This window comes from Homo sapiens, chromosome 8 (assembly GCF_000001405.40).
Source record: "Homo sapiens chromosome 8, GRCh38.p14 Primary Assembly".
In the NCBI taxonomy this organism is placed as follows: Eukaryota; Metazoa; Chordata; class Mammalia; order Primates; family Hominidae; genus Homo; species Homo sapiens.
This window is the reverse complement of record NC_000008.11, coordinates 105792875-105805047: the sequence shown is the minus strand read 5'-3', so window position 1 is coordinate 105805047 and position 12173 is coordinate 105792875. Positions and strand designations below refer to the sequence as shown.

Sequence of the window (12173 nt, the reverse complement as noted above, 5' to 3'; positions counted from 1 at the left end):
TTATACAAATGAGATGTACAAAATCAATCTTTTACAAATCCTGAGCATTAGATTTGCACATCTTTACTCATCAGAGTCACTTTACCATACCACGTCACCATTGCTCAAAATGCAAACCTCTCTCTCTGGTAAATTTCATCTGAATCTTGGGTGCATTTGACCAACATTTGTGTTGATTCTTGTGCATATGGCTTGTAAGTTTTGTAGACATGCATGAAATTGCTCTTTATCTGTGCTGCAGCGATGATGGGGAAAGGCAGACAGAGAGATTCTGCTAATTATACATAGTTATAATGAAGAACTTTTCTAGTTTCGTGGCCTGGAGCCTCTAGTTCATTTTAATAGAGCAAGTTATATTAATTAGGTGTATGTAAAGGACAATCTTTCTCTTTACTGATTTGTCATTGTGTTATTACAGCCATTCGGTGCCATTTGGAAACTATTTTCATCACAAAGAATAGATTTAGGGCTTCTCTTCTATTTTGAAGGGAAAAAAAGTGTGCCAAACTTCTCCAACAATCTGGAATTTTATTCCATCCATATACATGCATAGTAACAACATTTGTTGAGAAATTATTTCTATCAGAAGTAGAACATTATCTTTGTGATCACCAGGTGCAGTATTGCTACTCTTATATTTAAATAGATCTTATATATGAATTAAATTCATACTTGCAGCATTGAGTTTAGGGTTTCGATTTAGACTGTGCCTTTCAAAAGATAAAACTGATTAATACTACCTCATTACTTACAATACTGCTTCCAGTAATTTTGTTCATTCTTTATAAAGTATTGCATTTAACAGCAAAGGTTTAAAAATTGAGACAGAGCTGCATCAGCGAAAGAAAATACAAGTACTATACAAGAAAAAAATTGCCATCTTCATTTAACATACAGGTTCAGGATTAAGAAAATGGACGGAAACATACAGCTACATACAAATGCAAAGCCTAGTGACTAAGAGACTGTATCTGCTAAAATATAAAGTGCAAACAGAGCCTGATTATCCAAGAATTGAAATCTTAAGGCGAACTTATAGCATGTGTATTTAGAACATCTTTGCAAGTTATATTTTAGCATATACATATATCTGCAACAGCATATAAGAAAAAATCAAGATACACAAGTGCTTTTGAAGCTATTTCTAAAATGCTTTTCTGTATTGTGACTATTTTCTTTAAAAGCTACTATACAGTGCAAACCATATGTGCTACACAATAACTATACAATAACATTACAAATGACTTTAATATAAAGTTTTTAAATAAAAAATAACATAACCACAGCTATGAATACTGCTGGTAAAATAAATTAATTTTTTTGAAAATGGCACCAATAATACACTTTACTAATGGACTGTAATGAAATTACACCTTAAGTCTTCAACTCAGCCATAATGAATTATCTCCTGATTGCCCAGATGTAATTCAAACAGCTTATTTTTTTTTCTGGACTGGTTAGAACAACATACTAAACACTGATACCAAAGGTGACTGATGTTTAGTTAGTTCATTTGACATGTTCTGCTGCATGTGATGAGCAATAAAACTTCTTGTGAGTTATAAAGTTTGAAAGGTTGTTGAACTGGATATCACATAGCCGGCAATATTTCCCACTGGTTGGAGCCTGGCTGGAACCATTCACACCTTTTGCTATACTAGACAACTGTTCCTCTGCTGAGGGAATTCCTGGTGAGACATTCTCATTGGCAGCTAATGGGTTCTCAGAGATCCACGAGGGAGATTTGTGGTCGTCTTCGTGCTGAGGATTCTGGGAAATGTTCTCTTGCTGTGGGTTGGCAGCAGGTCTCTCATCTTGTTTCAGTCCACCATTCACTATTACCATTCCTCGATTTTTGGGCAACAATGGCAGAGAATCTTTCTTCAGCGCAGCACACCCATTTGAGGAAGCCTGGCCTTTAGGAGATTCATTTTCTGCATTTCTGCTTTGCTCGATGTCAGTGTTATGGATGACAAGAGAACCAGAAATATAATCACTTGGCTTGATTCCATAATATGGAGAAAGCTGGTCGGCTCCTTTTGCTTTCTTTATTGCTCCAGGGTAAAGGCATTGTGGAAGAAACAAATGTCTGTTTTCTTCTTTTGTAGCAATGAGCTGAGCAGCTTCACTAAAGACCTTCAAGCCTTGCAGGGTTGCTAGGTGGGATGAAAATAAGTTTCCATTGGGGGAAGGCTGCTTCAAATTCCCATTTTTCTCACATTTTATTATGCTTCTTTCGTAGCTGACATCAGGGCTGTTTCGTTCGCTTTCTGGATTCGGAAACACTTTGCCGTCCAGTTGACCCAGGTCATTACGCTGATGTGCAGTAACCGGGCAGAAATTCTGCTTGTGGGCCAGATAGTTTTCTACCTTATTGAAACTGATCTTGCACACAGTGCACTCGTGATAGTCCAGCAGCCTTTTGGGAGACGTGGTCGTCCGCTCAGACTGAGATAAACACTTTTTGCTGAGATCTATGGGCACGTCCATCTCTAGGCAGGAAACACTGGAATGAGTAGTATCACATTTGGAAACTGGAACACACTTGTTGATCGTCAGAGAAGTTTCCAAGTGTTTAGAGACAATTCCTGGAAAGATATCACATCTTGGGTGGTAGCACTCTCCTAGCCCTTCTGTGGGTTCTTGAGTGGAGGTACAAGGATTATTGAGGTTGGCTACGTCAAGAAATCTCTGCTGAACCAGTGGAGGCCTTTGTTCCTGCTCAGGTAGGCACATCTCATACATCTTTCTGCGCTTGCGTGTGCGCATGGTTCTCTGCATGGCAGGCACTTTGTTGGAAGCAGACCTCTTCAGTGGAGGGTCGTGGCGTGTAGCACAGTAATACTGTTTGTGGACCATGTATGTTTCGTGCCGGCTGAAGGTAATGTTGCAAGCTTCACAGGTAGTCTTATTTGGGTCACTTTCCCCATCCACTAAGGGGACACTGGGATTTTTCACATCAACAGGTTTTCCATTAATTTTGTCATCATTGTTACTGGAGGTGGAGAGCTTCTTAGTTTGAGTGGAAAAGTCCTTGTCATGGCCCTTCCCATTTGGCCCAATTAAATCTAAGACAGTGGAAGAATTGATGCAAGATGTTTGAAGAAGTGGATTCTCAGGATCAGCAGAATGAGCAGCTGGGTTGAGAAGGTTTATGGAGGTTTGGCCAGTGTTGGGACTCAAAGCTTCAGGCATCTTTTCTGACACACTAGGGAACTCTGGGGACTTAGCCATCTGCTGCCATCGGCTGCTGCAATAATGCTTTTTGTGCACTAGATAATTATCCAAATTATTGAATGTTATGTTACACTCAAAACAAGTAGCCCCCTTGGGCATCAAAGGGCTGTAAATGACGGGAGGGTAGCTACTACTGCCATGCCTCAGTCGCCGATGCACCAGTTCAGACATCTTAGCTAAGATCTCTGAAGCTTGAGGGACCATGGTGATATCTTGGGGGAAAGAAAACTGAGATAGGAAAGGGCCCACAGGGAAAGAAGGCCCAATATTAGGCTGAACTGGAGATGAGGCAAGTCTTGGGCTAGAGGGCTCAGACTTTATTTTTGTGTAAGAAAAGCTTTGTTTATTTGTTGTAGGCTGTATCTCTGGTCTCTGGTTCGTGAGAAAGAGCTGAGTCTTTTTCTCACACTTGTCCAGCTCTGTGTCAGAGCTCGCATCTTTAGTCTGCATGGCCTTTTGGCTCTGGGGAAGTTCGCTTCTGGTCAATAAGTCTGTGGCTGGCTGTAAGCTGTCTTCAGTTGCACTTGGAGAGTGTTCCATGTCACTTTCTCTGGGAAGTTTGCCGCTAGGGACATGGAGCTCCTGGTGCTGCAATAACTCCCTCTGAGTCTGGAAGCCGAAATGGCAGTGATTACATCGGAAGGCAGCTTGAGTGAGATGGGAGAACAGGTGTTGGTGAAAGTTGATCACGGAATCAGCAGTGTAGCTACAGACGGTGCATTTTAGACTAGCACCAGGGGGCAGGAATTCTTCCATTTTCACTCCTAGAGAGACATACAAAATAAGAACAATGAGAAACATGTGTGTTGGTTTTTGAATGACAGGGACCTTTTCTAATGACCTAATGTTTGCAACACAATAGGAATGAAATCTTTCAAAATTTCATTCGTGATATTAACTGTTTTCTTGTGACATCTCTTACTGTGTATGATAATATTAATAGCACTTTATAGTTTTCAAAGTACTTTCATGAATATTATGGCATCAAAGTGGAATAAGTGTCAGTGTCTCCATTTTATAGATGAGGAAACACGCTGAAGGAGGCTAAAGGAATTGATTATGTTAATAAAGCTATTAAGTGATGAAGCCATGCCTAAGCCTTGGATTTTATAATTACTAATCTAATAACCTCACTATAACATTAGCCTCTACATTAGGAATAAGTGAGCATTCATTAGGGTTGCTATTGAAAACAATGCAAATCAAATAACTCTCAGTACACTACATATAGGTTATATTCTAAAGAGGCCAAATAGAAACCATTTTGTAAAGTAATTAATATAATCTTAATTTATATTAATATAAATTTAAAATTTTATGCAGTAGTTTTGCTGAACATAGTTTATCTCTATCCAGGGCTGATATTTAGCTGGTAGACTAATATAGTCTACCAGTACACTAATATAGTCATTTTGCATTGGCATCCATGCTGATTGATCACTGCCTATTTCTAGTCCATGATTAAATATTTTGAATATTACCATTGACTGTGGTGGGTAAGCATCACTAAGATTGACTCTAGCTCCCATTGGTCAGCATATGGTAAAATCAGGCTTGGCTTATCCCCTCTGTACTCTGGACTAGAATAAGACTGCCTTTTATATTCATAAGCTGAAAACATGGCAGAGGTACCTAGTCCTGTAGTCATAAAAGGGGACTACCTATCCTTGTCTCTTTTTCTCCTTAATGAATCTAATACTCATTTTTTTTTCCATTTAGCTTAAAGGACCCCTGTATTCTGTTCTTTTTGTTTTGTACATGACCTTACTCACCATCTGAGACAACCAATATGTTTCTGCTTCCCCTGCTTTATTATCTATATGAAGATAGCTCATTTGTAAGGAGAGGAAAGAGGATGAGCAGAAAGGAAATGACCTACTTTTACAGGTTCAAAGACAAAAGCTTGAACTGTACTAGAGCACTGGAGGTTAGAACAGTAGCTTAAAACTCAACATGTGTTTCCATTTTAAAATTATTTAATCTAGGCAAAGACCACTAAGAAAGTCACCCAGAGGTGTCCTACAAGGTTTGTATTATAGGTGCTGAAAAACTATGATTCTCAGTCCCTAGTTTGTCCCATGTAAGAATGTACCTAAAATTATTTAAAGTTAATAGAATTCTGTACATTTGAATAAATTCATTTTTTAAAAAATATGATAATTAGAATGCTATGAAATGAAACTAAAAATAGCTGGCATACAATTCCAAATTAAATAGAAACAGTTGCCACCTTGCTATTGAGAGGGCCTTAAAAAGCTTATTTGTTTTTCAGCCTATTTTTTTCTTAAGGGATTTTAAAACATAGTACTAAAAGTAGTTTAATGTCATAAAAACCACCTAAGCTGTTATGATGCATCTTTTGGAAGTCAGAAATATTTTACTGATCCATATTTAAAAGTAAACATCCCTGAACTGTAATTTTAATTAGATCTATCAATAGAGTAGCTTTATTTCAATTCAGCACACACTTATATTTATGTACCTATTATTTCTTCCCTACCATATAGGAAACACTATGATCAGTTTCCAAAGATTGCTTGACACTAAAGCAATAAATGGCAATATTCAAAGGGTATTGAGATTTTCTTTTTAAAATAATGTGCTTTTTTAAAACCTCAGTTGAGAACAAATAGAATGATTTGGCCTCTGAATTTGTAAGAAAAGAATTCAGACCCAAGTCCTTTGAGTAACATATGCTGAGTATAAGTGGCATAAGATCACACTGGTTGACCCAGAAAGTTTGATTTTGATGTTATAGATAGCTACAGATAGACAGATATAGACGTATACATGTAATGCATATATATTTATAAAAATAACAGAGTCTTCTGGAGCAACAGAAGAAACAAAAGGGGCATTTACCACTGTGTGAATTCAGGTGCATTTCTAGAGCTCGAGCATTTGAAAAGCTCTTGGTGCACTGTGGGAAGGGGCACAGGCTGGAAATCTGATGGGCACTGTCTTCATTTTCCTCTGACACCGGAGCAGCTTCTCTTTGCCTCCCACTGCAGTAGTACATCAAATGGGCCTGCAGATTCCGCTCACTCCGATACCAGATGCCACAGGACTTGCAAGGGAATATATCCTCTGCAGGTAAAAACACAAGAGACACATTTGCTGCTGTCCATTTGAAACCAACTGTGGGTAAAGCAGCATTTAGTTCAATTTTTCTCAGACTCCGCTCTCAGGTTCTTAATTGGGCAATCAGATGAGTAACAGTCTTTGGTGTTGTTCTACAGCATAGGACTCGACTTTTAAAGAAATGTTGTACTCTGCAATTTAACTTCCCACAGACTCTAGAGAAAGAGGAGACTCCAACATTTAAAACACAAGATATTGATTTTATTTTATTTTATTTTTTGCGACAGATTCTCACTGTGTTACCTAGGCTGCAGTGCAGTGGTGCGATCTCAACTCACTGCAACCTCTACCTCCTGGGTTCAAGCAATTCTCCTGCCTCAGCCTCCCAAGTAGCTGGGATTACAGGTGAGTGCCACCACGCCTGGCTAATTTTTGTATTTTTAGTAGAAACAGGTTTCTCCATGTTGGCTAGGCTGGTCTCAAACTCCTTACCTCAGGTGATCCACCTTGCCTCAGCCTCCCAAAGTGCTGCAGTTACAGGTGTAAGCCACTGCCTGGCCTAAGATATTTATTTTAAATTGTATTTATGGTTAGAAAAAATATTCATTTATAGTGATGTAAATTATCTGATTGATTAAAAGGTAAGGATGTAAGGGCTGAACTAATGTTAGCCCTGATGTCAACCCCTGACACCATTTTTTTTTAACACAGTAAATACGGAGTGGCTACTATGTGCCCAACTCTGTGTTCGGCTGGGTATAAAACAAAATGAAAGATGAAACAGCTGCCCTTAGGAAGCATACAGTCTCCTTGGGTTGATGGACATGTGGTCAGCTAATTACATTACAGCCTAATTACTGTTCTGATGGAGGTATCTGAGGAATGCCCCAGGGCATGGAAAAGAGGCTGATGGCAGGAGTGGAGGGAGGAGATTAGAGATGGGTTTAGAGGGAAGATGATGAGCTCAGCCTGAGCTGAGGTATGAAGGATGAAATTAAGCTGGTTTGGTGGAGAAGAGGGGTTGGATCATCCTGATCAAATGGGCAGCTCAGGGAAAGCCATGAGAGCCTGAGAGAGGAGCTGGGAGGCTGGGAGGCTTTTCTGTACTGTTGAGGCACGGAGCATGATAGGTCTGGGAGAGAAGAGGCTGTAGGAGGCAGGGATAGACTGTGAAAGAATTGCAGACTCTCAACAAGTTTTAGATTTTGTCTTAATGATTACGAAGCATCACTGAATCATTTTAAGCAAGACACTGACATAATCAGATATTATCGCATAATCAGAATCATAGCAGTGGAGTCTAGTTTTGAAGGTAGTGAATTTGGAAGAAAGAGTTTTGACTGGTGGGAGGTAACTGCAGTACTCTAAGGGAAACACAACAGGGTTTGAGCTGTAGCTAATACTGGTACCATATTTATCAGGTCATGCTATGACGTGTCATTTTCATGTGTTCACTCATGGTAAATTTCTTCACGTGTGTTTTTTCCCCCTTCATCCACTTATAGGTGAGGAGACTGGTGTTAAGTAACTCGCCCATCCATGACCGCATCAGTGGTTGAAATGGGATTGGAATCTGGTCTTAATCACTCTTCCATAATGCCTCCATGGCAAGGGTGGCAGAGAGGAAGAATTATGCTGAGGAAGTAGAACTGACTAGAAGTCATGAACAATGCTTGGTGATTAGATTCTAGAATGGACGAATAAGGCTCTGCTTTGCTCCCAAGCTTCTGTGTCAGTAATGGCTTCATTCATCTACACAGGGAACAGAGGATGGAGAGGTGATGTCTTCAGGCTAGGGCATGTACAGGGTGACCAAATCTGACCTTGTATTGTGCAAACTCAGGACTTTCGTAGAGGAAAGGAGTCACCATCCAGAGGGATGCCAGATAAAAATGTACAATGGGACTAAGCCAGGCAAACAGTGGCACATGTTCACGTTAGACATGTGGAATCTGATATTTCTGTAAGAAATACAGAAGAACATGGGAAAAATGGCAACAGAGGCCTAAAACTCTGCAGAAATGGCTGATCTTATAATTTGTGAACTGTTATTTATGGTTGTTGGTGGAGCCCATGGTAGTGAAGGAGATGGCTCAGGGAGACAACATTAAAGGCGATAAGGAGAAAAACTAATGATCAAATTCTAGTGAATGAAAGGGAAGTAAGGATAGTAAGTATAATAATAGAGTTTCAAATTAACATTTAATTTTAAAATTAATTATATGCTACTACTGTTTATTATTTAACCCTTCCCTTCCAAGTTAATTTCATTTACACTATTCATGAGGCTACACAGTTTAGTAAAGGGTCCATTTAAGCAGGATGAATTTAACTCACTAATTTCAGAATGAAAGCAAAAGCTCTCTGCATCTATGCTGAATTATTTGACATAAATAGCTGTCTTGCTACAGAAAGCAAATAGAGTACACTCTCCACTATAATTAGAATTAACATCAGATACTCCTAGAATCTTTCTTTGGCAATAAAATTCTTTTGCCTCAAATTCAGGTTGGGCCATGTTATTTCCAGTTCCTCACTATCAGAATCAAAGTAAAGATACAGGAAAGAAAATAAGTACATTTACCATAAGGAAATCCAATAATACTAGCTTAGATGGGAAGTACTATATCATTGATTGAATGCACAGTAATTTCAGACTCATCTGATAATTTCTTTAATCTAAAGGATGATATTACAGCAAGAATCTAATTACAGTTAAATATTTTATTTTAATATCAAGACATCATTGTGTCTCTGGATTTCTCTTTTGCCTCATTCAGAGTCTCAGAGATTTTAAAGTATATTTTTGATTAGATGCAATTTTTTGCTTACCTACTAACTTCAGAATCTATTCTCCTCTTAAGATGTGTCTGCTACTCATGTGTTTTCATAGAGCTAGATAAAAATCAGATATGGCTAGAACACAGATCTTGGGACTCCAGACGACTGATTTTGTGTCATATGAAGTGTCATTCTGTGACACAAAAATACAAACTAAGTTAAGTTCAATTTCTTTTTTATGAAGTAAAATCACAAAGGTAAATTTGCCAGGGTGTACTTAAAAATTCTCCATATAAAGTGTTCTAAGCTTATCATGCATTTCTTTCTTTTTTTTTTTTTTAACCTTTTTGCATTAGCAGATGTCTTGATTTATCCAGGATACACTTCTTTTTTGTTTGTTAGTATATCTAATCAAACTTTGATTTCGTATTTTGTTTCTTTTTTTCAAGTTTTTAAGTCTACGGCCCTTAAAGAATACCACATTTTTTCTACTATAGAAGCATTAATGAAAGGTGCTCGCCTTCTCACAGCTAAGTAGCCTTGAATATTATTGAACTCATGTAGAACATCAGCTTTGTGTGTGTGTGTGTGTGTGTGACATTCAGGAATCTGACTTGAAATGGTTGCAGTTAAGGGTTCTTTCTACACTCCCAGGACAATTGACCACACACACACACACACACACACACACACACACACACAAAGATAAAATGAGGGGGAGGAGCCAAGATGGCCGAATAGGAACAGCTCCAGTCTACAGCTCCCAGCGTGAGTGACGCAGAAGACGGGTGATTTTTGCATTTCCATCTGAGGTACTGGGTTCATCTCACTAGGGAGTGCCAGACAGTGGGCGCAGGTCAGTGGGTGCAGCGCACCGTGCATGAGCTGAAGCAGGGCGAGGCATTGCCTCACTCGGGAAGCGCAAGGGGTCAAGGAGTTCCCTTTCCTAGTCAAAGAAAGGGGTGACAGACGGCACCTGGAAAATCGGGTCACTCCCACCCGAATACTGCGATTTTCCGACAGGCTTAAAAAATGGCGCACCAGGAGATTATATCCTGCACCGGGCTTGGAGGGTCCTATGCCCACGGACCCTCACTGATTGCTAGCACAGCAGTCTGAGATCAAACTGCAAGGCGGCAGCGAGGCTGGGGGAGGGGCGCCAGCCATTGCCCAGGCTTGCTTAGGTAAACAAAGCAGCCGGGAAGCTCCAACTGGGTGGAGCCCACCACAGCTCCAGGAGGTCTGCCTGCCTCTGTAGGCTCCACCTCTGGGGGCAGGGCACAGACAAACAAAAAGACAGCAGTAACCTCTGCAGACTTAAATGTCCCTGTCTGACAGCTTTGAAGAGAGCAGTGGTTCTCCCAGCATGCAGCTGGAGATCTGAGAACCCGCAGACTGCCTCCTCAAGTGGGTCCCTGACCCCTGACCCCTGAGCAGCCTAACTGGGACGCACCCCCCAGTAGGGGCAGACTGACACCTCACACAGCCAGATACTCCTCTGAGACAAAACTTCCAGAGGAACGATGAGACAGCAGCATTCACGGTTCATGAAAAACCACTGTTCTGCAGACACCGCTGCTGCTACCTAGGCAAACAGCATCTGGAGTGGACCTCTAGCAAACTCCAACAGACCTGCAGCTGAGGGTCCTGTCTGTTTGTTAGAAGGAAAACTAACAAACAGAAAGGACATCCACACCAAAAACCCATCTGTACATCACCATCATCAAAGACCAAAAGTAGATAAAACCACAAAGATGGGGAAAAAACAAAGCAGAAAAACTGGAAACTCTAAAAAGCAGAGCACCTCTCCTCCTCCAAAGGATCACAGTTCCTCACCAGCAATGGAACAAAGCTGGACGGAGAAGGACTTCGACGAGTTGAGAGAAGAAGGCTTCAGACAATCAAACTACGAGCTACAGGAGGAAATTAAAACCAAAGGCAAAGAAGTTAAAATCTTTGAAAAAAATTTAGACGAATGTATAACTAGAATAACCAATACAGAGAAGTGCTTAAAGGAGCTGTTGGAGCTGAAAGCCAAGGCTCGAGAACTACGTGAAGAATGCAGAAGCCTCAGGAGCCGATGTGATCAACTAGAAGAAAGGGTATCAGCGATGGAAGATGAAATGAAGCGAGAAGGGAAGTTTAGAGAAAAAAGAATAAAAAGAAACAAACAAAGCCTCCAAGAAATATGGGACTATGTGAAAAGACCAAATCTACGTCTGATTGGTGTATCTGAAAGTGATGGGGAGAATGGAACCAAGTTGGAAAACACTCTGCAGGATATTATCCAGGAGAACTTCCCCAATCTAGCAAGGCAGGCCAACATTCAGATTCAGGAAATACAGAGAACACCACAAAGATTCTCCTTGAGAAGAGCAACTCCAAGACACATAATTATCAGATTCACCAAAGTTGAAATGAAGGAAAAAATGTTAAGGGCAGCCAGAGAGAAAGGACGGGTTACCCACAAAGGGAAGCCCATCAGACTAACAGCGGATCTCTCGGCAGAAACTCTACAAGCCAGAAGAGAGTGGGAGCCAATATTCAACATTCTTAAAGAAAAGAATTTTCAACCCAGAATTTCATATCCAGCCAAACTAAGCTTCATAAGTGAAAGAGAAATAAAATACTTTACAGACAAGCAAATGCTGAGAGATTTTGTCACCACCAGGCCTGCCCTAAAACAGCTCCTGAAGGAAGCACTAAACATGGAAAGGAACAACTGGTACCAGCTGCTGCAAAATCATGCCAAAACGTAAAGACCATCGAGACTAGGAAGAAACTGCATCAACTAACGAGCAAAATAACCAGCTAACATCATAATGACAGGTTCAAATTCACACAAAACTATATTAACTTTAAATGTCAATGGACTAAATGCTCCAATTAAAAGACACAGACTGGCAAATTGGATAAAGAGTCAAGACTCATCAGTGTGTTGTATTCAGGAAACCCATCTCACATGCAGAGACACACACAGGCTCAAAATAAAAGGATGGAGGAAGATCTACCAAGCAAATGGAAAACAAAAAAAGGCAGGGATTGCAATCCTAGTCTCTGATAAAACAGACTTT

The 12173-nt window shown here is 40.1% G+C and overlaps 1 protein-coding gene and 1 long non-coding RNA gene across 12 annotated transcripts in view, besides 1 other annotated feature; one reads left to right on the top strand and one right to left on the bottom strand.

Moving 5' to 3' along the window:
- The window catches only part of ZFPM2-AS1 (ZFPM2 antisense RNA 1), a 280094-nt gene that overhangs the window by 255456 nt on the left and 12465 nt on the right, over positions 1–12173 (top strand). For both annotated transcript variants that reach the window (NR_125797.1, NR_125796.1), the window contains exon 3: positions 6606–6723. This is a non-coding gene — a long non-coding RNA (ZFPM2 antisense RNA 1). The remainder of the gene's footprint in view (positions 1–6605; positions 6724–12173) is intronic.
- ZFPM2 (zinc finger protein, FOG family member 2) overlaps positions 509–12173 on the bottom strand; it is a 486102-nt gene continuing 474437 nt past the window's right edge. For all 10 annotated transcript variants that reach the window (NM_012082.4, NM_001362836.2, XM_047421634.1 and 7 more), the window contains 2 exons: positions 6100–6324; positions 509–4001 (listed from right to left, as the gene is read on the bottom strand). In NM_012082.4, coding sequence (NP_036214.2) covers positions 1510–4001; positions 6100–6324 — 2717 coding nt within the window. In that variant the 3' untranslated portion in view covers positions 509–1509. The remainder of the gene's footprint in view (positions 4002–6099; positions 6325–12173) is intronic.
- Positions 1632–2831: an enhancer, noted in NCBI's record as "BRD4-independent group 4 enhancer chr8:106814445-106815644 (GRCh37/hg19 assembly coordinates)". NCBI's record gives its function as "activates an origin of replication core promoter dependent on BRD2, P300/CBP, MED14 and CDK7 cofactors, and independent of BRD4, by STARR-seq in HCT116 cells {active_cell/tissue: HCT116}" and the evidence as "EXISTENCE:reporter gene assay evidence [ECO:0000049][PMID:35650434]".